Here is a 24455-nt window from a genome sequence, read left to right on the forward strand (position 1 = left end):
CCTCCTGCCTCAGCCTCCCAAGTAGCTGGGACTACAGGCATGCTCCACTGCACCTGGCTTATGTTTTAACTATCACTATTATGTGTGGATATAATGATACTTTAGAATTTAAATGTTTTCCTCTCTGTTTATGTGGCAAAGAATAGGGACCAAATACTATCTGAATAAATGTTCCTTATAGCCACAGCATGCTTGACTTAGATGGTCTGTTTCTCCAGCCTGTTGAAGAACTGTAGCTCACAGATGTAGATTTCAAATGATATCCTAAATTGCTGCTTTCATCATCTTAGTGCCTGTAATTTTCTGTGGCTTTAGAATTGATCACATGTATGAGACGCAGTTATACCATTTAAGCATCAAGCACTAGATTTGGATTAGCAGTGTTTATACTTTGTATTGGTATGCAGTCATTCCTTTTTTTTTTTTGAGACAGAGTCTCACTCTGTCTCCCAGGCTGGAGTGCAATGGTGCAATCTCGGCTCACTGCAACATCCGCCTCCCAGGTTCAAGCGATTCTCCTGCCTCAGCCTCCCGAGTAGCTGGGATTTCAGGCGTGTGCCACCACGCCCGGCTAATTTTTTGTATTTTTACTTGAGATGGGGTTTCACCGTGTTAGCCTGGATGGTCTTGATCTCCTGACCTCATGATCCGCCCACCTCGGCCTCCCCAAGTGCTGCTATTACAGGCATGAGCCACCACACCCAGCAGCAGCTGCATACTGTAAAGCACTATATTGCAAATTTTGAAAGGGGCCTATATTGTGTTTTTTTGTGTGTTCTTATTAGTACCAAGGAGAAAGAGTGCTTTATGTGCACTAGGTGCCTAATAATGTGTGTATTACTATTAGTGGGAACATAGGCAGTGTGGTATAGGGATTAGAAGTGTGGACTTGGGTTGACATCCTTTTTTCAATCACTTCTCATCTGCGTGACTTTGGGCATGCTGTTTGTCATTGTTGCTCTTGGTGGTGTATTTTTTCTTTTGAGAGAAAGGCGAGACAAAAAACAAGCTAATATTATGGAGTCATTGCAAAGTAACTTTTAGGCAATGTTCCGTCATTTGTACATGTTTCCATATTGCACAGTTTTCCTACTTATTTTTTAAGTGAATGTATACAAGGCTGGGCACAGTGGCTCACACCTGGAATCCCAGCACTTTAGGAGGCCCAGAAGGGCAGATCACCTGAGGTCAGGCGTTCGAGACCAGCCTGGCCAACATGGTGACACCCCCTCTCTACCAAAAATACAAAAATTAGCTGGGCGTGGTGATGCATAGTAGTCCCAGCTACTCAGGAGGCTGAGATGTGAGAATCATTTGAACCCTGGAGGCAGAGGATGCAGTGAGCCGAGATCGTGCCACTACACTCCAGCCTGGGTAAGAGGGTGAGACTCTGTCTTAAAAAAAAAAAATATATATATATATATATATATGTGTGTGTGTGTGTGCGTGTGCGTGTGTGTGTATGTGCGATATATATATATATCACGTTGCTTTAGTTGATTTTGTTGATATGTATACCAAAACTTAATCTAGTTGTTGGTCTCATTTCTTGTCACTATATAATACTGTGGTAAATATTATGCAAATAGTCATTTTTCATCCTTTGAATTACTTTTCTTTTTTTTTTTTTTTTTTTTTTTTAACATTTCTAAGATTTTCCTTACTGGGAGTAAATAAATTGTATTTCTCTCTAGCCTGGACAACAGAGCAAGACCCTGTCTCTAAAAAAAAGGGTAGGGGCGGGCAGGGAGAAGCAGCAGCAGAAGAAGAAGAAAAGAAATTAAATAATCCATAGTGACTTGTTAAAGTGCCATGTATTTCTCATTCAATTTCACAACCTTGTGAAACCTTGTAGTTACTATTACTATCCCACCCTATCAAAAACAAAATCTACAGATAAGGCATTGAGAGGTTAAGTAACTTAGTATAATTAAGTGGCAAAACCCTTGAAACTATTATGTTATATTAACTTGTTATGTAATAATGTACTTTATACATGCTACCAACATCCAAAAGTATAATGCTGTCAACTAGGTCAGAGAAGTAGGAGACACTGGGAAGAAAAAGAAAGGAGGGGGAAGAGCTTGCAAAGGGGTGCCATTTATTAGCCTTTTGGTTTTGTTTTTTAAAACTATACAATAGACTGGGCACAATGGCTCAAGCCTGTAATCCCAACACTTTGGGAGGCAGAGGCAGGAGGACTGGTTGAGCCCAGGGGTTCAAGACCAGCCTGGGCAACATAGGGAGACCATGTCTCCACAAAAAGTTAAAAAATCAGCAGGATATGGTGGCGTGCACCTGTAGTCCCAGCTACTTGGGAGGCTGAGATGAAGAAGTATGCTTGAGCCCAGGAGTTGGAGGCTGCAGTGAGCCGTGATCATGTCACTGTGCTCCAGCCTGGGTGACAAAGTGAGACCTTGTCTCAAGAAAAAGGAAAAAGAAAAAGAAAGAAAGAAAGAACAAACGAACGAACGAAAGACTGTATAATAAAAATTTTTAAATGAAAATAAAAAATAGCCAGATAAAATATAATGAAACATTTGATAAACTGCATTAGATATTTGCTCAGTGTCAAGTCTGCAACCCTGTGATTAAGTGCAAGGCATGTGTTAATATTTAAGCCCAGTACAGTATTTCTAAGATGAGTTGAACCCTACCTGGTTCAAAAGTACATGCTCACCTCATGCCTGCTGTTGGTATATGAGCTAAGTACACGTATCCTTCAAAAAAATAATCTGGCAACATTTACCGAAAGCCCTAAAATTGTTTTATACTCTGCTCTCGTAATTCCATGACTGAAAATCTAGTATTTAAAAAAAAGGAGGCTTTTACTCAGTTACTGTATCATTATCTATGACAGTTATAAAGTTAAAATTAAAAAGACATAACCTAAATGATTCGCTATAGTTGTTTTTTGCTCATTATCATCCCTTCCTCAGGAAAACTACACCTCATCCAATTCATGTCATCTCAAGGGGACTGTCAATCCTGGCTTTCTGTGGGTTCCCCAACTCACCCTAACCACAGCCACCACAGTGGCTACCCTTGCTGTAGCTCATCTCCCAGGTTCCAATGATTGGTTAAGGAACTGACAATCAGAATTGATTACCAACAACACAACTGACATGTGGACATCAGGAAAGAGAAGCTGTCTTTCAAGTGTGGTTGCTAAGCTAAAGGTATATGTCTGGGGCTCCAGAAGCAAGAGGCTAGAAAAACCCAGAAAGGAGACAAAGAAACCCAATGACATTACTTGCAACCTTGGATCTAGCTGTTTCCAAAGCCATTCCATCACCCTCCACATACAATACCCAGTATGTGAACCAATACACTCATTTTTTAACTTAACAAAGTCGTGTTGTTATTACGTGTAACCAAAGGATTCATGACTAACATCCTACCTAAAGAAGAGTAGTTAACCAATTATAGTGCATCCATTCAAGGAAATAACATTGACAGAATAGTGTAACTGTTAAGAGCATGTACTCAGCCCAGTCTGAATCCTGGCTCTGCTAAATATTCTCTATGTGTGCCTGGGTACATTCCTTTTTTTTTTTTAGACAAGGCCTCACTCTGTTGCCCTGGCTGGAGTGTAGTGGCGTAATCACGGCTCACTGCAGCCTCAACCTCCTGGGCTCAGGCGATCCACCTCAGCCTCCCAACTAGCTGCAACTACAGGCGTGCACCACAATGCCCGGCTAATTTTTGTATATTTTTGTAGAGACAGGGTTTCACCATGTTGTCCAGGCTGGTCTCGAACTCCTGCGCTCAAGCCATCTGCCCACCTCAGCCTCCCTAAATGCCGGGATTACAGGCATGAGCCACTGTGCCTGGCCCTTGGATACATTACTTAACTTCTCTATGCCTCAATTTCCTCATCTATAAAGTCGGGATAATAACAGGACTTCATGTGATTGTTAGGAGAAGCAAATGAATTACTATTTACAAATGCCGGGAATAGTGTCCAGCATTAATAAATATGTGTATCTTTTTTTTTTTTTTTTTTTTTTGAGACGGAGTCTTGCTCTGTCGCCCAGGCTGGAGTGCAGTGGCGCCATCTCAGCTCACTGCAAGCTCTGCCTCCCAGGTTCACACCATTCTCCCGCCTCAGCCTCCCGAGTAGCTGGGACTACAGGCGCCCACCACCACGCCCAGCTAATTTTTTTGTATTTTTAGTAGAGACAGGGTTTCACCGTGTTAGCCAGGATGGTCTCGATCTCCTGACCTCGTGATCCGCCCGCCTCAGCCTCCCAAAGTGCTGGGATTACAGGCGTGAGCCACCGCGCCCAGCCATGTGTATCTTTAAGTAAATGAAATAAGTATCTTTAAGTAAATGAAATAAGTAACAGAGTAGTATACAAAGTTGAACTAAACTACATATTTACACAGATGTTTAAAAGAAATCGGCAAGGAAAAGGGAAATTTTATATTTTTTATGAGGCAAATATACAGTATCAAAAAAGGAAAAAAGTAAAACATGTCTCTGGTCTTAGGAGACAGGATGAGTATGATTAGCCTCACACAAACCCCTCTGACCTTCACCAGAGGAACTACATTCATCCTCAGATAGGAAGCACTTACCTAAGTGTCCAGTGGGGAATCATGAAGTCACACAACTTATCATATTAACAGCAAGAATTTAAACCTAGTAGTTTATTTACTCCAGCTAATTAGTTTTCAAGGAAAAGCACAAATTTATGAGTATAACCAATTCTTAACAATCCACATAGATGAAGAGGAAAAAATATTTTAAGTCATCCCCCCAAAATACTTATATTTGGCTAATGAATCTATGTAGAATATAATCACTTTTATTTAAATACAGGTTAAATTGCCTTCTTGAAATTCATTAAATTTCAGACCTAATGATGAAGCCACATTGGAAAAATTTAATTCAAGTTTGACAACCTACCACCTGGATCTGCTCTGCTCTGCATATCTTTCCACTCCATGACTGATAAATTCCTATCAATCCATTCAAATCCTGCCTCTCAATTAGGTTTGCTATATAATACATGCTACCAAAGGTTTTGTTATTGTTGTTGTTGTTGTTGTTGTTAGCAATAAAAGAATTAAAACTAAGTATTTTTTTAAAATACTTTTTTACAGATTAGCTAGACTGCACATCCTCTTCCCCTTGCCCATACTGAATACTATTAACAGAGTCAAAGATCTGCCACTAAAGCATTATAATTTAGTTTAAAGCCTTGTCCATCAGGTTATAAAGCCTCCACAATAAATAGACTGCTCCGATACTGACAGTGGGAAGTTTTTTGTTCAAATTCTAGTATTTACTTGTTATGGCTCCAGTGGGTTTATGAGGCCAAAATATCAAGATAAATGGAATTACAAATTAGATTATCTAACATGGAAATAAAATTTTTCATTGATGTATCTCTAACATTTTCCATGAATGGACAAAACTTATCTTAAAAAAATGAAGTGTAGGATTTGCACAGCTGGTACAGCTTTCTAAATTGGGTTGTTTGGTTGGGGTTTTTGTATTTTTTTAAATCTTATCTTCACACGTGTATAAAAACTCATGCAAAAAAAAGTTAACAAAAGTTTAGAAGTAAAATGAATAAGCCTGGAAGTCTGATTAGTAAGTTAAAATCTGCTTAGGAAAAACTACTAAAATACTAAAAACCAAATTTTCATATTTTAGGCAATATATCCTAGTGATTAAAATACACCAACTTGGTTCAAATCCCCATCATGTACTACTCTAGGTCACACTGGTAAGTCACTTTACTTCTCTGTGCTTCAGTTTTCTCATCTGAAGATGGGAATAACAACTGTATGTAACTCAGAGTTATGAGATATAAGAATTAACATGTGCGAACACAATAAACTTTAGCTATTACTGTTACTGTTATCCATATCACCCTCTAAAATATAGTTCACTTAAGAATTACTAAAATAAGCATCTTCCTGGGTCTGAAATATGTGCATACCATGATATATAGAGAGATGATGTATGTGAAACAGTCCTTTGACAAAACTTTTAGTTGAGTGCCAACTCTGTAGAGGATGTCCTCCTGTGCACTGAAAATACGAAAATGAACAAAATATAGTCTCTGAATTCAAGACCTTTCTGTCTAGTAGACAATATAAATAAAACTATAATAAAAGTAGCATGATGCAGATGCTATGGAAACAGACAATCCTGTGAGACACTAAACAACACAGGCACTTAACTAGGGGCAGACACAGGGGTCCCAGATAAAATAAACTCCAGCAATATTTTCTGAGGAACAATCACCTACTTACTTCACTTCCGGGTATCACACTGTTATTTACGCAATTTATATTATTAATATATTAATAAGTGTTTTACAAAAAACAAGACTACCTATCACACTACTTACCATGCTCATAAACTTAAATACCCTTTGGTATTAATGAAGATGTTTTCTTTTTTCTTTTTTGAGACAGGGTGTCACTGTGTTGCCCAGGCTGGAGTGCAGTGGCATGATCATAGCTCACTGCATCAACTGCAGTCTTGAACTGCTGGGATCAAGGTGGGATCCTCCCACCTCAGCCTCCCCAGTAGCTAGGACTACCGACATATGCCACCATACCCAGCTAACTTTTTTTTTTTTTTGAGACAGGATCAGGCTAGTCTCAAACTCCTGGACTCAAGCAATCCTCTTGCCTTGGTCTCCCAAAGCTGGGATTACAGGCCTGAGACATAGCACCTCGCCTGATGATATTCTCTTAAAAAAACAAAATATAACCTTGCAAAGGTTATACTGCCTCTTCAAGAAACATTTCTTTCACCAATAAATAAAAGCTACAAACTTTCCCCTAATAAATTATATTACGACTAATGTCACAGGAATGACAATATTTTTGAGCTGGAAGAGACCTTTGAGAGCCTCTAATCCAATGCTCTCATTTTACAGATGAAAAGAGGCTGTAAAGTATAATGGAAAAAAAAAACCAACCTGAGAGTCAGAAAACTGAATTTTGGGCCCAACTGTCTTACAGTGAAAGCCTGTGCAAATTATCTGCTTCCTCATCTGTAAAATGAGAGGTTTGTACTAGATTGCTTCCAAGATCCGGTTCAGCTCTGTAATTCTTAGTTTATGGAACTGAAGCAGAGATAAGCAACTTGCCCAAGGTCACACAGCTAGTTAATAGCAAAGTAAAGACTATCCTCAGATCCCAACTACAATCACTTTCTCCCCTATACCATACTGCTTCTACTACTTCATAACAATATTCCTGTAATTTATTTTAAGATTCTTGAAAATTATTAACAAGCATGAAGGAGTTTATGAAACTACATGACTGATTTCTACAGCTCTTCTATAGGAAATGAGCTTTAAATCCAAATGCAACAAGTACATGAGGTCTCAAGCTGGGTATTATTACTTACTACACTTATTAATATTAAATTGACCCCAAGAAAGTTATGAGAATTTATGCTTAAATTCCCACCACCTAAAAATCCAACTCACAGAAGAGATTATGTGCCATGCAAAATTAAAATATGAATTGTTATAAGTAATGATACATATTATAGGTATAATTCTAGGAATAAGATGAGAATTTAAATTCTTCATTTTATGTTCTAGTTATACTTAATATGCATTTTAAATTCAAAAGAGATCAATTTAAACACTTTTCTTTCTTCTTCCCTCTTTTCAGACTCTCTAGCTTTAAAAACATTAGAATAACTTAAGCATATTACTTCTGAAATCACGTAAACAATTACAAATAAAAGACTATATAAACTATGCTCATAATTTCTCTTACAAAATTGAAAATCAGCCCCCATAGTATTCTAAAATTCTGTGCTGAAATATATTACAACTCTACTAAACTGTATCATAAACAGCATTTGGTTCTCTAAAATGTCTTAAGCTTATTATATTTCACAGGGAATTTAGCAAGATTTCATGAAGACTGATCTTGCTGACACAAGAAAAGACAGAAAAATCCTCAGAGGAAAAGCACAATAAAAATGCAAAATAGTAATAAAGTCAACAACAACAGTAGTTTCATACTACTGACTTGCAAGAACATTCAAAAACGTTAATGAATATATATAAGTATAGTTTAACTATATTTAGGGATTTTTAAAAAATCACAGAATGTTTACATTTTTAAATTGGATGAAGCCTTAAGTCACTAATCCAATAGCACTCATCGTAAGAATCTACAGAATTTATCTCCACCTCCCCAAAAAATATGTCCCTGTAGTCCACTTTAAATTCTCAAAACTAACTACTTCTTTCCATTGTTGTTAGCTGTTGCGAGTTCCATTGTTGCTCCACTGTTCCACTGTTCCAAGTCTAGTTGTCATACAGTTCTTACATTCTGGTAAAAAATTAGACTGACCTCAATGTCTTCCTAATTTTCACCCGTTGGTCTGCCTTCTAAAGCAGGAGAATGGATCTATTCTCCCTCCTATTTATTAAAATTAACAGGTTTTTAAATCCTATTTACTGAAATCCAAGTTTCTTAAATACCTGGAGACAGCTATCACGTCTCCCAACCGTTAGTCTCTTCTTTAAATGTATCTTCCATAGACTTCCTGTAGGTCCTAGAGACATTTTTGGAATACAATATGCTTTCACATTGTCAGTAACTTAAAAAACAAAAAACAAAAAACTGCCACTTGTTGAATTTTGATGTAATACCAAAGAAGAATACTCACTCTTTCCTTTTCCAACCATATATCTACATGAAGCTGGATTCTCTTCACATATCTCAACCAAAACATCATAACAGACTGAAGGCAGACAAAAAATCCAGCTGTCTTCTCCAAGTAAGCCAGAAATCAAGGTGATTTGCAAAAATATAAAACAATGCCACTGGTCTAGTTTCTTTGGTTTTAGGACATATTTATTCTTCATAAAAAATTCTATTTACAACACAGTTTAAATTAATAAATATATTTGAAATTGTCATTTAATTTCTAAAAGAGCAAATATTAGTAGATATAATCTACATAAACCTAAATCTCTTGGGGTCCTCAATAATTGTTAAGAGAGTAAAGAGGCCCTGAGGCCAAAAGGCTAAAGCATAGTCTATTTCTCATAAGATTTTCAAACCTCCGTTCTGGTTTCTCTCTTTTATCTCTCTCCTCTAATATGTAAATGTGCCATTGTAAAGGAGACATCTGTCACATATCTATTCATGAGCTAGAATCCTTAAACACATAACCCTGTCCTCCTCCAGCTAGTGATTTCAAAAAATTAAAGGCCTACAGGGCCATCTGGTACACCTTCGTTTTTAACATCTCATTACTAAATCATCTGAAGTCAATTACTTTAATTCTTCTAAGGAATGCAGTCTTTAAATATGGAAACAGAGGAAGTTTACAGTTTAATCGAACTATCATGCCATCTTTTTTTTGAGAAAGTATCTCACTCTGTCACCCAGGCTGGAATGCAATGACGCTATCTAGGCTTACCGCAGCCTCCACCTCCCAGGCTCAAGCAATCCTCCCAACTCAGCCTCCTGAACCATGCCCAGCTAATTTTTCTATTTTTTGTAGAGACAGGGTTTCACCATGTTGTCCAGGCTGGTCTTGAACTCCTGAGCTCAAGCAATCCACCTGCCTAGGCCTCCCAAAGTGCTGGGATTACAGGCTTGAGCCACCACTCCTGGCCCATACAATCTTTTTGACCAAGCTTTCACTATTTACAAAAAAGTAAAGCAAATTATTTATAATTGGCAGGTTGGAGCAGGAAAGAAAATGCAAGTGTTCTATATAATCAATCATCTGATTCTCAGCAATAACCCATTCAAAAGTACCCATGTACTGATATGCAAAAAAACCCAACTACTTATCTAGCCAATATGACACTAGGTTCCTAGACTTCAACAAAGCAAAACTGGCCTTTACTTGAAAACCTTTTTAACTCGTCACTCCCTTAATCACAGGATTATAGAAGACAAAATGGGATGGAGATTATAGGTTTAAAAGATTCAACAGAAAATCTAGAGCTACATCGCTGAACTCCTCTAACAGAACCACAAGACTGACAAGCGAAAAGCTTTGGGACCCGAGGGAAAGAAATCTATACTATATTTATCACATAATTTCCTAAATTCTAATAGATTCCCAAATCTTATAGAGCTGTATTTTATTTGTGATAAAACTATGTGAATATGATAATGGTAATAAGGTAAAAAGAAACAAAACTACAACATACAGCATCAAAAATAATCAGATCATAATCTTAGGTTTGTGGTTTCAAATGTCAAAACTTCAAAATAAGTAACTTTTACAGATGCTTATGGCATATTTTTAAAAATAACCCATTTTCAAAGTTAAGTCTGCCTAAAAGGAGTTCATCACATAGAATATTTATGTAAGTTCACATACATGTGTATCTCTTTTAAGTTTCAATTATTCTATTACTATATGTTAAACTGACTCAATTTTTCAAGAAACAAAGTTAGTTTTCACCGTGATACATACAATACATTCAAGTTCCATTAATATTAACGGTTCTTACTAGCAGTAACTAGCAGTTAAAAAGCTTTCTAAAACTTCATCAATTTATATAATGTACTAACATGTATACCTGGAAAAGGTGCTAAACACTTAAAATAAAAACTGAGATTTCGCTCAATAGAAATCATCTCCATTTTGACACTCAGGGCTTCATATTCCTGTTAGCGTTAGTGAAATCTGAGAACACATCGCCAAGCTTCAAAATGAATATAACCCTAGAGAGGATTAATAGTTTCAACTTGCATGCTGGTTGGTCAAAAAGAAATATCCCCCTGTAGCTATACAGGTACTCGGTGTGAAGTGTAACTTTCACAAAAGCCTGTCCTATGATTTCATGAATTAACAGAAACTCACTACTTTAGGTTACATAAAAACCCACTGTAATCTAAACTGCCGGAAAAAATTATGGTTATTTGGAAGTTCAAGCTAAATGATTCCAACCCCTCCAAATTTTCAAACATCAGGAAAAGTGCAGAATGTTTTTAAGTTGAAGTAACCTCAGAAACTCACAATCTAGATGTTTTGTCTCCCAAATTCCCAATACTGATAACAGATATCAAGAGATAATTCAACACTATGTCCTCAGTATCCAGTTCACGGCCTGGCTCACAGTAATGGCTCAATAAATATTCGAGAAACGAATGAATGAATGAATGAATGAATGATGATATAGCCTTAAACAAGAAACAATAAAATGGTCTTTTTAAACTCATAACACTAACATTAAACATCTTAATGAAACTACAAACAAAAGTAAAAGCATGCTAAAAGCAAGCATCAACTTCTCTATGAAATACATTTTAAACCGTTCATTTAAAAATTTTCAAGTGCAAAAGAATCACCAGATATACTAAATTTCTAGTCATTTAATAAATAAACTTCTATATTCTAACAATGAAAGCTCAGCGTTGGGATAAGATGAAAGGGGGAAACGTCTGTCAATGTATTCCGCATGTTTAATGGATCCCATAAATCAAAGCTTTCCGTGAATTTTCTAGAGCATATTCATGCCAATCTTTAAGCCTATTGTCACTTTCACACATGCTCACAGGAACAAAATGACAAAGAATGCTATGCCTGAACCACTGGATTCAGGGCACAAAACACTTGATTAACACTTGTCAAGGCTCTGACTAGCAAATATCGACAGATATTTTCAAAATAAAGTACTCGCACCGATTCCTACATAAATCGAAGCTCTTGATTTCTTTAAAACATTCACTAGACGGTTGAACTTCCAGACATTTGAAAATGTGCCTATCTCCTCGTGTGCGACAACTAGGAGTGAACAGCCCGTCTACCAATTGCGGATGAATACCGCTAAGCTTTTTCCAGACTAAAGAGCGTTAAAAGACATTCCATGCACATTTATTCATTCCCCATAAATGTGTTTTCTCCCAAATTTCATTTTATGTTGTATACTTAGATACAGCAAGTTGAAATTTTAGTCAAAAGCACGCCGGTGCCTTACAAGCTGTGTAACTGCTACATCTGGTGGCAGCCCACTTGCTTGCAAGAAGCCAGAAAACTTAGAAAACAATTGTAACCGATTTGGTGCGTGTTTGCAATAACCTTTACGCAGATATTTCCCACAAAACCCACGACCCTGTCACAGAAGAACAGTAGCCTACTTGCAGCAGAGAATATAACGCACAAACACGCAGGAAGCAACGGCGAAGGAGAGAAAGTTGCAACCATCTGGAGGGGCGGTTTTAAAAGCCTGCCCACGAGTCAGTCTGTCGTTTAAATTGCTCTAGGGGGCCACACAGGGGATCAAAGTCTGCCCAGATAATTTCAGCGTCTCTCCCCAAAGGAGAAACCCAGCAAGCGAGGGGCATCCTCCAGGTCCCGGGCAGCAAAGCTCGCAAAGTGGGGACCGCCTCTATGGGAGGAGTGCGCGGGAGAAGGGGAGGGGGCTCGAGGACGAAGGCTCCAGCGGGAGGGAAAACCCACCAGAGACCGGAGGCCAGGAGGTTAAGAGTACTGAGTGTACTGGCAAATGGAGCAGAAAGGGGCTCGCGTCTGGGGGGAGGCTTCCCACCCTCGCAGGACTGGCTCCCAGGAACCCCAGGCGAGTCTATGCGCCTCGCCCCGTCCCCACCAGCGCGCACCCCCTCGTCCGTCTCCTCCGCCACCCGCGAACCACCATCCACAGCCAGGGCACTACCTCCCCAGAGCCGGGGAGCCGGGCGGCCTCGCGTCCACCTCGCCACCATCCCCCACCCCAGGGTCTGGCGGAGAAGCCCCGGGGCGGGGGGGGCGGGGGGGGGGCGCGGGGGTCCGCGGCGCGGGAGAGGAGGCCCGCGAGCGGGCGCGGGCGCGGCGGTGCTTACCTTCCCTGGGCCTCCCGGATGGCGGCGTGTGATTCAGCAGGGACCTGGCCGCCGCCGCCGAGCCCGGGGTTGGAGACGTGGAGAGCTGGGACCAAGATGGCGGCCCCTCCAAACTTCCACTGCTACTTTGGACACTCATCAAGCTACTTTCTGGGAACCCGACTCCCCCCCTGCGACGGCAGCGGCGGCAACGGCACCGGCACCCGCCTCCGTCATGGCGGGGGCCGCGCTGAGGGCGAGCGAGAGAGCGAGGGCTGGGAGGGGAGAGTCAAGGGGATGGGGGAGGAAACCGAGAAGAGGGGAGGTGGGGAGGAAAGAGGTGAGGGAAGGAGAGGGGACAGGGAGGAGGGAAAGGGGGAGAAGCGAGGGAGCGAGCGGGCGCGCCAGAGGAGAGGAGGAGGAAAGGAGCGCGGCGGCGGAGGCGTCGAGGGGGTGCCAGCCGGGCCGGGGTCGGAGCGCGGGCGGAGCGCGGGCTGCGCCGGCCGAGGACACTTCCGCGGGCGGAACCTGCCGGCACCTCTGCAGTGCGTCGGCCCCCGGCGTCGCCCGGGAGGCGGCGGCGGCGGGCTGTGGGTGGCGGCTGAGGCGGTGGGGTAACCTCTGCATCAGTTACAGGCGGCGGCGGCGTCACGCGCCGCCTGTGCAAACACTATCGCGAGGCTCCTGCGCCTCCGGTAGCGGCGGCGGCGGCGGCGGCGGCAGCGGCGGCCGCGGGAGCAGGCTTGGGGGAGGGACCTGCCAGGGGCTGGGGGGTGGGGGCATGGGGAAGGAGCGAGCGCGCGAGGGAAGAGACTAGAGCGCCGGGGCGCCCCTGCCGCACCCGCGGATCGCCGCGCGGCGCGGGAGCCCGGGGTTGCCGGACTCGCGTGCGCGGGGGCAGCGTCCCCGCGCCGGCCGGAGGGAGGCGCGCCCCCGCCGCGCCGCTCGGGCTCCAGCGCCGCTGCCACCTGACTCCCCCTGTCTCCCGCGGAAGCGCGCCTCTCTCCTGACCCACACCCAACACGGGGAGAAATGCTGCTGCTCTCGCTCAGCTGCCGCTTCTCGGGAGTTCAATGTGATCGTTTCTCAAAATGGAACTGAAAAGTTGAGAGTTCCTTCTTTCTTGCCCCTCTGTACTGTGCAGAAAAACGTATGTGCGCCTCCCCGTCTGCAGAATGGGAATAATGACCGAATAAAAGAGCTATGAAAATAAACATGGGTAGTGGGAGAGTTGGGAAATAAAACTTTCTCGTGTTTTCTAAAAAAGAGTGAAGAATCTTTAATGAGGAAATTGAAAATTACCAGTTTTGTAGACTGTATGGTATAGCAATTCTTTGTTTTAAAACAGTAAGTGGAAAATCTAAATGAAAAATGTGATTACTGAATCACATATTTAGGAAAACTATACAGCGTTCATCTTGCAGAAGGTATGGTTTCTAGAAACTTATAATTTGTTTCTAGTGTCTCCGCTGAGTCCCGACTACAAAAATCCCAAAATAAATAACAGCATTTGCTAAAATTTATAGATAGAGTGTAGCTTTCTACAGACCCACACAAGTATACTCACACCAGGGATTGGGCTTCTTGTACATAAAAGAGCACTCTAGTTCAGGAAAAGTACAACAAGGTTATTTCTCTCTTTAGAAAACCAAATTGAATAGAGCACTAAAAAGATTATGATATAGCGCTACTGCACAGACAAGAGGAAATGGCATGATTACCAGGGGGACAAAAATGTCGTTTCTATTTTTTATTTTTATGACTTCGCATTTCTCATAGTAATGTTTTGTTCAGATAAACTATCATACTAGAAAAGAACCTTGATTGTCAGTTATCTCCAGAAGTAATTGTAGTTGCCTTGTGCTTTAGATACTTCAGTGAGTTTTTAGTCTTGTCTGCTTTTCAAACTTAAGAGGGACATCTCACAAACAACTTTATTGAGGTATAATTGACAAAATAAACTGCACATATTTAAAGTGTACAATTATTGGCCAGGTGCGGTGGCTCACGCCTGTAACCCCAGCACTTTGGGAGGCCGAGGTGGGCGGATCACGAGGTCAGGAGTTTGAGACCAGCCTGGCCAACATGGTGAAACCCCATCTCTACTTAAAATACAAAAATTAGCCGGGTGTAGCGGCACGCGCCTGAAGTCCCAGCTACTCGGGAGGCTGAGGCAGGAGAATCGCTTGAACCCGGGAGGCAGAAGTTGCGGTAAGCCTAGATCGCAACGTTGCACTCCAGCCTGGGCGACAGAGCGAGACTCCTAGACTCTGTCTCAAAAAAATAAAAATAAAGTGTACAATTTGATAAGTTTTGATGTGTATACCTCCCTGAAACCACTTCTACAAGGAAGATGGTGAATGTATCTATCACCCTCCAAAGTTTCCTCTTTGTGGTTCCTCCTCCACACTACTTCCATTCTCTCCAACCACAGATCTTTCTGTCATATGGGTAGCTTTCCATTTCATAGAATTTTAGATAAATGCAGGCCATACAGTCAATTTGTACTCTTGTCTGGCTTTGGTTTTGTTTTTTGTTTTTTGTTTTTGAGACAGAGTCTTACTCTGTTTTGCCCAGGCTGGAGTGCCATCTCGGCTCACTGCAGCCTCCGCCTCCCGGGTTCAAATGATTCTCCTGCCTCAACCTCCTGAGTAGCTGGAATTACAGGCACGTGCCACTACATCCAGCTAACTTTGTATTTTTAGTAGAGATGGGGTTTCACCATGTTGGCCAGGCTGGTCTCAATCTCCTGACCTCAGGTGATCCGCCCACCTTGGCCTCCCAAAGTGCTGGGATTACAGGCCTGAGCCACCGTGCCAGGCCTTGTCTGGCTTCTTTCACTCGACATTATTTTTTTGAGAGATTCGTCCACATTGTTGCATTATCAATAGTTTGTTTTTATTTTTAAGTAGTATTACACTGAATGAGTGTACCACACTTGTTTATCCATTAAACTATTGATGGACATTTGCATTGTTTTCACTTTTTGGCTGTTACGAATAATGCTGCTAAGAACATTCATGTACAAGTCTTTCTGTGGACATAGGCTTTCCTTTCCCTTGGATACATACCCAGGATCTTGCCATTCGATTTTTATACCTAAATACATGCACTATAAGAGGAACAGAGTTTCTGTAATGACATGTTGATAAATGTATGCTCTTTCTGTATTTTTAAGAGTAAGCTTAGTCAGCAGATTGCGGTGAAAAGAACATGGGACAGGAAGGAAGTTAAGAGACCTGAGTATTAGTCTCAGCAGGTAACTTGATTCAATTTCCTCATCTACGAGAAAGAGGTTAGAGTCACTGAGTGATTTTTAAAGCTCCTACCAATTCTGAGACTGTACAGAGCTCAGTTCCTCTCAAAAATGGTAAACAAAGCCCAACCAAAAAGGTTTGATGATGGTAGGTTATCTTTCTCCCAACCTTCTCCAGAGCTTCAAGTTTTTAAGTTATCCTTATGCCAATTCATAGTACTTTTTTTTTTTTTAATTGTCACCCAGGCTGGAGTGCAGTGGTGCAATCTTGGCTCACTGCAACCTCTGCTTCCCAGATTCAAGGAAGTCTCATGCCTCAGCCTCCTGAGTAGCTGGGACTGCAGATGCCTATCACAATGCCCGGCTAATTTTTTGTATTTTAGTAGAGATGGGGTTTCACCATGTTGCCCAGGGTGGTCTCAAACTCCTGAGCTCAGGCAGTACACCTGCCTTGGCCTCTTAAAGTGCTAGGGTTACAGGCATGAGCCACCACGTCCACCCTAACTCATGTTATATTTAATGCAGATTGGCTATGTTTATTTTTAATGATAACTAGAGGATTACAGCATATACATGATCAACTTACTTTAGTTATATTTTTGTTGTGGATACTTCCTTAGAAGGACAATTAAATGTTTGATTCCTGTCTTCATGTGGTTTTTGATAAGACAGCACTCACCAACCTTTAAAAAAAAGGCTTTTACTGGCAATGGGGAGTTATTTAAACAAACTGCAGCTTAGCCTGAAAATGGAATGTCATGCCATTATTTAAAATCATGTCTTCAAAGAATACCAGAGAAGATAACATTTTCACACTATAGTAAGTGAAAAAATGGATATGATCTGGATTTATTCCTAAGTATGCATCAAAAACACTGGAAGTACTCAGGAGGCCAAGGTGGGAGGATCACTTGAACACAAGAGTTCAAGACTAGCCTGGGCGACATGATGAGACCCCATCTCTTAAAAAGAAAAAAAACTGGAAGGATGTGCCCCAAAAAGTTAATAATAACTAGCCTTGGGCTGTGAGATCACATAGTTATTATTTCTTTATGTATGCTTTTCCAAATTTTGTAAAACAAATCATGTATTTCTTTTTATATTCAGAAAAAGTTCAATAAATACGTTTTAAGTAATTGAAGTAATTGAAGCATAAAGAAGGCCTCTGGACATAAGTTGTGCAAATACATAATTTTATAAAATGATTATGTCAAATAAATGAAAACTTTTAAATGGCAAGGAGAAGCTCCTCCACACCTTGAAATTTGCTAGTATATGGGCATTCAAAAAATGTCCGATAAAAAAATAGATCAAGACTGGGCACGGTGCCTCACGCCTGTAATCCCAGCACTTTGGGAGGTTAAGGCAGGAGGATCACTTGAGCCTAGGAGTTCTAGACTAGCCTGGGCAACAGAGTGAGACCCCACCTCTATCTAAAAAAAAGAAAAAGATTAGATGGCTAGAGTGATAGATTACACAATAGGAAAAAATATAGAAAAGTCAGAAGAGTTCAGATTCAGACAGAAAGAGACACGTGCCACTCTGTAGGGAAGAAGAAATCTCAAGAGCAAGAAGAGATCATTGGAAGCTTTCTGGCAATCTTCCATGGAGGAATATTCCCAGAGGGAAAGCCAGCTTGAGAACACAGAAATGAACTGAGCAAGTAAAAGGTAGTAAACCTGCCTAGAAAGAATCAGGAAGAGACTAGAGAGAACGTTCTGAGTGCTCCATGAGGACAGGGCCTTAAGCCTCTAGTACAGACCAAGGGCTCTGTCAATGTTGTGGAATTAATGAATGATGACGATCAATGAGCTGGGTTTCAGGTGATAGGGCAATGCAGGAGAAGTCTTCAAGGGTCTCCTGATGGAAGGTCAGATGCAAAAGGTGAAGGTCTGAGCCCCGATCTATAGGATGATCATAATTTATAACTATGTTTAATAGACTATTTTCTATTTCTATACCATAGTAAAAATATTTACAAAGCATCCAATATTATAGACATACTAAAATGCATTTTATACTCTTAACTTCTAAATTCAAGGGAAAAAATTAATGTCTGAGCCACCTAAGCCCCTTTCCCCCAAACCAACAAGAAATTAGCCCAGAGGCTGGGGGCTGTGGCTCACGCCTGTAATCCCAGCATTTTGGGAGGCCGAGGCGGGTGGATCACAAGGTCAGGAGTTCGAGACCAGCCTGACCAACATGGTGAAGCCCCATCTCTACTAAAAATACAAAAATTAGCCAGGCATGGTGGCGCACACCTGTAATCCCAGCTACTCAGGAGGCTGAGGCAGGAGAATTGCTTGAACCCAGGAGGCGGAGGTTGCAGTGAGCCGAGATTGCACCACTGCACTCCAGCCTGGGCAACAGAGGGAGACCCCATCTCAAAAAAAAGAAATGAGTCCGGAGACTGGATGAGGTATACTTTCTGAGTACTCCCATACAGTGGGATACTGGAGCCTGTTCATAATGTCCTGGGAGAAGATTATGTACATGGCTTCCCAACTCCACATTCAGTAATGTTACATGTTACAATTGTAGCTTGAAGTCAGCCATGGTGAGAGTAGTTATAACTCCTAGGTCAGCAAAAGCTACAAGTTAGAGCTGCTTCTCCCCATCAGAGCCAATTATTAAGCATTCACCAGCACACCACTGCTCCCATCGTACATTTGTCATTGCTGTACTGTTCTCTGTTCTCTATTTCCCCCTCTTGGCTGAAAGCCTAGGGAGAGCAAGGACCCTTCTCTGTAATGGTTACAGTTGTGTTAATACCCAACATCTAGCACCTGCCTGGCATACAGTTGTGGAGCCAACCAACTACCTACACAGCTGGTTAATAAGCACTGGAGTCCCCTGAGCTAACCTGCTCATAAACATCTGGGCTGGCCATCTAGCAGGGGAAGAATAGGCCAAATGCCCCACCACCCCTTCACACTCATCCTTCATTGCCCAATGTTTGTGGTTTGATAAAGTTCACTGACCTTGTTAGGGTTTTCAGATTAAACTATGAATATTGTGTAGGCCATATTTATCCTAAAATGTTTTTTATTGATTTGAAATTCAAATTATCTGAGCATCCTGCATTTTAATTTGCTAAATCTGGCAACCCAAGCCCTTTTGAAGTAAGCAAAAAGATATTTCGTAAGGTAGTATCTGTGAAAGACGAAGATTCTCTGACCTGGCAGTTCCGTTCCAAAGAATGTATCCTAGAGGAATTCTTGCTGCTATGCACCAGGAGATAAGAACAAGAATGTCCGCGGCACTACTGTTTGTAGTAGTCAAAACCTGGAAATTACCCAAATGTCCGTCAACAAGAGAATGGATAAATTAGAGATATGTATATTTGTACAGTGGGATACTACACAACAATTAAAATGCTCACAAATATAATGCTCATTAAAAAGAGCAAGTTACAGAAGAACAAAGTCAGTTTGATTCCTTCTCAAATATTCAAAATCATTCAAAACTAAATCATATATTGTTCAGGAATACATTAAACTACAAGGAAAAAAATGGAAATGAGAAGCCAAGATCAGAGTGGTTACCTCCTTCAAGGAAAAGGGCACATGTGATCATGGGAACTCAGAGGGACTTCAAAAACACTGCTAAAAGCACCACTTGTTAAGCTGGGTGGGAGTACGGAGGTATGTTTGTCTTATTCTTTCTCTTTAAACTACATGTATATATTAGATCTACTCTTACATGTATGAATTATTACATTACAAATGTTGAAATGAGGAGTATTGGGCCTTCTTCCTTCTTATCAGAGTGAATTGAAATGTCAACAAGGCCTCCTCTGCCTGGACTCACCTCCAAATTTTTGTTTCCTTCTTTGTCCAAAGGTATGAATATAGATCAGAGCTCTTAAGATGCCTACCCTGCAATCTCAACACGCCCCCTCAATAGTTTTTTTGATTAGTTGCTTAGACAAATGGCTCCATTACATTAGATTATGAAGAATTCTCATTTCATTAAGTTGGTTCTATCTTCATTGCACAATTCACAAAACCACTGCTTGAAAGTTTTGGTTTCCAAATCCTGAAGAGATAGTTCCAAGCTTTTGTATATAATAGGCTAGATTACACTTCCTCTGCTCCCTCCAGTGATGGAAATGTTTTCTCTCAGATTTGTCAATCCATTTGAAAAAAAGAAAACCCTTGGTCCATACACAACAAAAACTGGAATTACTAGATTCTCAAACAAAAACTGGAATTACTAGATTTATTTCACCTGAGGTTAAATAATTGTAACCAACTTCAGAACAATAATATCCCCTCCCCCAAAGTGCACTAGAAGCTATCCTCCAAGGACATGGTATTATGAAATGTTTACAAAAACAAAGTACAACAAGCAAACAGTGCTCATATTACAAATTTTGAATCAATAGTGTACCTCTTAACAAAGCAGGCAACTTTGAAAAGTAATTTAAAAATATATAAATTATAATTTATAATTATAATCTAGTGTTACACTTTACTTATCCTAAATTTTACTGATTAAACCAAAATATAAATTTATCACATTAAGAGGGAAAAACAAAAATGCCCAAAATCTTACCCTGGACATTGTTTCTGCAGCATAAATTTTTTTGTAGGCAAAAGAAATGGAAGTTTCTTTTCGTAAAAAATATCAAATATCTTTGATCTTCGACAATATCTTTCCCACTCCATAGTTTAAAGATTTTCAGAATTACTTAATGCATTCCCAGAAAATAAAAACTAAATGCCAAATCTTTCTTAATTCGATACATGGCAAAGGAGACATATATAACCTCATATGAATTTAGAAACTTTGAAACAATATGGGAATGTAAAATATTGATGAGAATTTCTTCCTCCTCTTCCAAAAAAAATAAAAAAATAAAAAAATAAACAGTCAAAATGCCACCATGAAGTAAGAGCGGGGATTCTGAGCTGCAAGTGATTTTTTTGTTTCATGATCCAGGTGCTGATTAGAAGTGTGTATTCAGGGCGCTGTGGCTCATGCCTGTAATCCCAGGACTTTGGGGGCAAATTAGGAACATTCTCCCATGGATTTGTCATAATTCAATGAACCATGAATCACTGAATCATAAAAAGAATTCATAGTTTGGAAGATAGGGGTTGGAAAGAACTGGTGTCTAAAACAGACTTTAGCTATAGATACAAGATAATATAAACACCAATAATGGGAGATAAGATGATGCTAAGTCTAAAATGTTAATAGAACTATCACAACAATATAGTTACATTGAGATTTTATTTATAATGATGAGAGTTATTCTGGAAGTGTGTGCTCAGGGTGCAGTGGCTCATGCCTGTAATCCTAGCACTTTGGGAAGCAGAGGCAGGTGGATCACTTGAGGTAAGGAGTTTAAGACCAGCCTGGCCAACATGGTGAAACCTCGTCTCTGCAACAAATACAAAAAGCCGGGTGTGGTGGCGCATGCCTGTAATCCCAGCTACTTGGGAGGCTGAGGCAGGAGAATCGCTTGAACCTGGGAGGCAGAGGTTGCAGTGAGCCGAGATCTCGCCACTGCACTCCAGCCTGGGCAACAGAGTGAGACCCTTTCTCAAAAAAAAAAAAAAATTTGTTTTTTGATCCACTAATTTCATTCTGGGAATCTATCTGGAAGAAACAATCTTAAATTAGAAAAAATGTGTCTGTGCTTTTTCTCTTTGTACACAAAGATAATTCTATTCAACATTATTTATAGTAACAATAAAATTGAAAATAACGTAAATGTACAATATTAAGCATATGGTAATAAATTATGGCTCATCTATCTTATAAAATATGATAAGGCCATTAAAATGTTTGTGAAGATTTTATAATAACCAAAAGCAATAGTTTGCTTATAAGAGCATCTCAGTGAATAAAGCAGCATAAAATATATATATACAATATAGTCTCAATCATATAAAATGTGTATAACAAAAAGAATGAAAGGAAATATATCAAAATATTTTTATTACCAGTTCTCACTATCTTTCCCAGGCTGGCCTTGAATTCCTGGGTCAAGGATTTTTCCACATAATTGGAATTACAGGCATGCACCACCAGGCCCAGTTGAAAATATACCAAAGTATTAAGAGTGGTTGTCTTTCTGTGGTAAAATAATGGCAGATTTTTGTTGTTAGCCTTTGTACTTTTCAATATTTTCCAAACGTTTTATAGGAATAGCAAGTACTTTATGGGGAAAAAAAACGCTGTATTTTTTCAAATGACTGAGTTTATTACCCCAGATTAAATTAATGAAGACCAAGAAAAAGAAGGATTAACAGGGGCTAGAAGAAAAACAAAACGTTTGGTGCCTTCTTTTCCGCAGATAGTTAAAAGCTATTGTTTGGCTTTTTATTGATTCAATTAAGCAAAGGTAGATTTTTAAAGTATTTGTGGAAAGCTTTCAGGAACCCACTAGCAGAATCAGAGGAATGGCCATCTTTGAAAATCACAGTAGAAAATAAGAGCAAACAAAACTAAGTCTGCAGAGCAAATGACAAAACTGAAAAGAAACAGCATGCACACATGAAAAGAAAGGCATAAAAACATGGCAGCAGTGAGACTAACCATGATAAGTTTAGTTATTAAATGTAGATTCCCTATTAATAGAAAAAGCCTCCCAGATTGTGTTAAAAATTAAAATCCAATACTTTACTGCTTATAAAAAAATACTTCTAAATAAAATAAGACAAAAAGACTACAAAGAAAAGGATAGGTAAATATGTAGTAAGCAAGCTTGTAATAAATTAGAAAAAGCATTATTACATTAAAATAGAATTCAAAGCTTAAAGGTTATTTTGATTTAATATAAACATGAGATACACAAAAAGATAAATGTCAATAGATACAACAATTCACAAAATTGAAAATAAATTAGCTAACTATGGGAGTGTTGCAGAACCACTACCTCACTGTATCAGTTTTCCTCTTCTTCCTGGGCACATGGGTAAAGTATACCTTCAAGTCTCCTTTCAGTGAGATAGGGCCACGTTATTGGGTATAGACAGTGGAATGTAAGCAGACATCTGGTGTGTCTCTTCCAGACAAAAGACTTAAGAGTCATTGCGCCACCATCACACTCTGTCTTCTCCTCTGGTAGGTACTATAGAGACCAGATAATGATGCGAAGTCACAAGGTGAAAGTGCCCTGGATCTTCCAATCACTGCAGGGAGCGTAGCTGCCCCATAAGTTGGCACCAGACTTTGCATGTAGAGAAATAAACCTACGTTGTTTGGTGCTTTATTTGCTATTACAGCATAGCCTATCCTGTCTTGATTAACACAATGGACAAATGTCAAACCACCCAAATAGTCAAGAAATTTAAATTAAACAATGAAGTACTACTTTTCATCAATTAAACTAAAAAGAAAAACTTAGAATATTAATACTCAGTGAAGTGGGGTAAAGAATAATCTTTTCAATAAATGAGGCTGGGTCAAATGGATATCCAGAGGGGAAAATACGTACTTTGACCCTTACCTCACACCAAACACAAAAATATATTCCAAATGAATTGTAGCTGTAAATATGAAAATTAAAACAAATAAAGCTCTTAAAAAATCTAAAAATATTTTTATGATCTTAAGTTAGGCAAAGGTTTCTTATACAGGACATGAAATGTGCTAACCATATGGGATATTTTTGATAGGTTAAACAATATTAAGATAAAGAACTTCTAATCATCAAAAAACTTGCTTTAAGACAGTGAAGAGACCGGGTGCAGTGGCTCATGCCTGTAATCCCAGCACTTTGGGAGGCCAAGGCAGGTGGAGGGAGGTCAAAGCTACAGTGAACTGAGATCACGCCACTGCACTTCAGCCTGGATGACACAGTGAGACCCTGTCTGGAAAAAAAAAAGAAAAGACAGTGAAAGGATGCTGGGTGCAGTGGTATGCACCTGTAGGTAGTCCTAGCTACTGAGGAGGCAGAGGCAGGAAGATTGAAAGTTCAAGATCAGTCTGGGCAAAATAGGAGACTCTTACACTGCCCTCATCTCCAAAAAAAAAAAAAAAAAGACAGTGAAGGCAAACACAGAGCGGAAAAAGATAGTTGCAATACATATATTTGACAAAGGACTTGTATTCAGAATATGTAAAAAGCAAAATAAAACCTTTAAGGAAAAGATAGATAATATAGTAGAAACAAACAAAAACTTGAACAGTTGCTTCACAAAAAAGAATAACCAAATGCAAAAAAAAATGCTAAATATCTTTAGTCAACAACAGCAAAACAATTAAGGCAAATGAGATACCACTCAACAGACAGGCTAAAATGAAAAATATGAAATGTCAGTAAATATGTGCAACACTGGGAACTCCCACACACTGGTGGAAGTGGATATTGGTACCTGGTAGCAGTAACCACTAAAGCTGAAATGTCCATATCTGTGATCCATCAATTTCATTCCTAGGTATATACCCAACAAAAATG

At 39.9% G+C, this 24455-nt stretch overlaps 1 protein-coding gene across 5 annotated transcripts in view, besides 5 other annotated features; it reads right to left on the reverse strand.

The window, feature by feature from the left end:
* Positions 1-24455, reverse strand: part of TLK1 (tousled like kinase 1) — a 240471-nt gene that overhangs the window by 156660 nt on the left and 59356 nt on the right. For 4 of the 5 annotated variants that reach the window (XM_017005422.3, XM_011512238.4, NM_012290.5 and 1 more), the window contains exon 1: positions 12808-13411. The exons of the other annotated variant lie outside the window; for it this stretch is intronic. Coding sequence is in view for 3 of the 4 variants with exons in the window: in XM_011512238.4 (XP_011510540.1) it covers positions 12808-12946 (139 nt within the window). In the remaining variant the exon portion in view is untranslated. Of the gene's footprint in view, positions 1-12807; positions 13412-24455 lie in introns of those variants that run through there. 5 annotated transcript variants of the gene reach the window in all.
* Positions 12582-12821: a silencer, noted in NCBI's record as "silent region_12097". NCBI's record gives its function as "represses an Ori minimal core promoter by ATAC-STARR-seq in GM12878 lymphoblastoid cells {active_cell/tissue: GM12878}" and the evidence as "EXISTENCE:reporter gene assay evidence [ECO:0000049][PMID:35858748]".
* Positions 12582-13811: a biological region, named in NCBI's record as "H3K27ac hESC enhancer GRCh37_chr2:172016575-172017219".
* Positions 12583-13227: an enhancer, noted in NCBI's record as "H3K27ac hESC enhancer chr2:172016575-172017219 (GRCh37/hg19 assembly coordinates)". NCBI's record gives its function as "activates a minimal SCP1, AML or CMV promoter by ChIP-STARR-seq in naive H9 embryonic stem cells {active_cell/tissue: H9 hESC(naive)}" and the evidence as "EXISTENCE:reporter gene assay evidence [ECO:0000049][PMID:30033119]".
* Positions 13092-13811: a silencer, noted in NCBI's record as "silent region_12098". NCBI's record gives its function as "represses an Ori minimal core promoter by ATAC-STARR-seq in GM12878 lymphoblastoid cells {active_cell/tissue: GM12878}" and the evidence as "EXISTENCE:reporter gene assay evidence [ECO:0000049][PMID:35858748]".
* Positions 13942-14001: a silencer, noted in NCBI's record as "silent region_12099". NCBI's record gives its function as "represses an Ori minimal core promoter by ATAC-STARR-seq in GM12878 lymphoblastoid cells {active_cell/tissue: GM12878}" and the evidence as "EXISTENCE:reporter gene assay evidence [ECO:0000049][PMID:35858748]".

This window comes from Homo sapiens, chromosome 2, assembly GCF_000001405.40.
Source record: "Homo sapiens chromosome 2, GRCh38.p14 Primary Assembly".
NCBI lineage: Eukaryota > Metazoa > Chordata > Mammalia > Primates > Hominidae > Homo > Homo sapiens.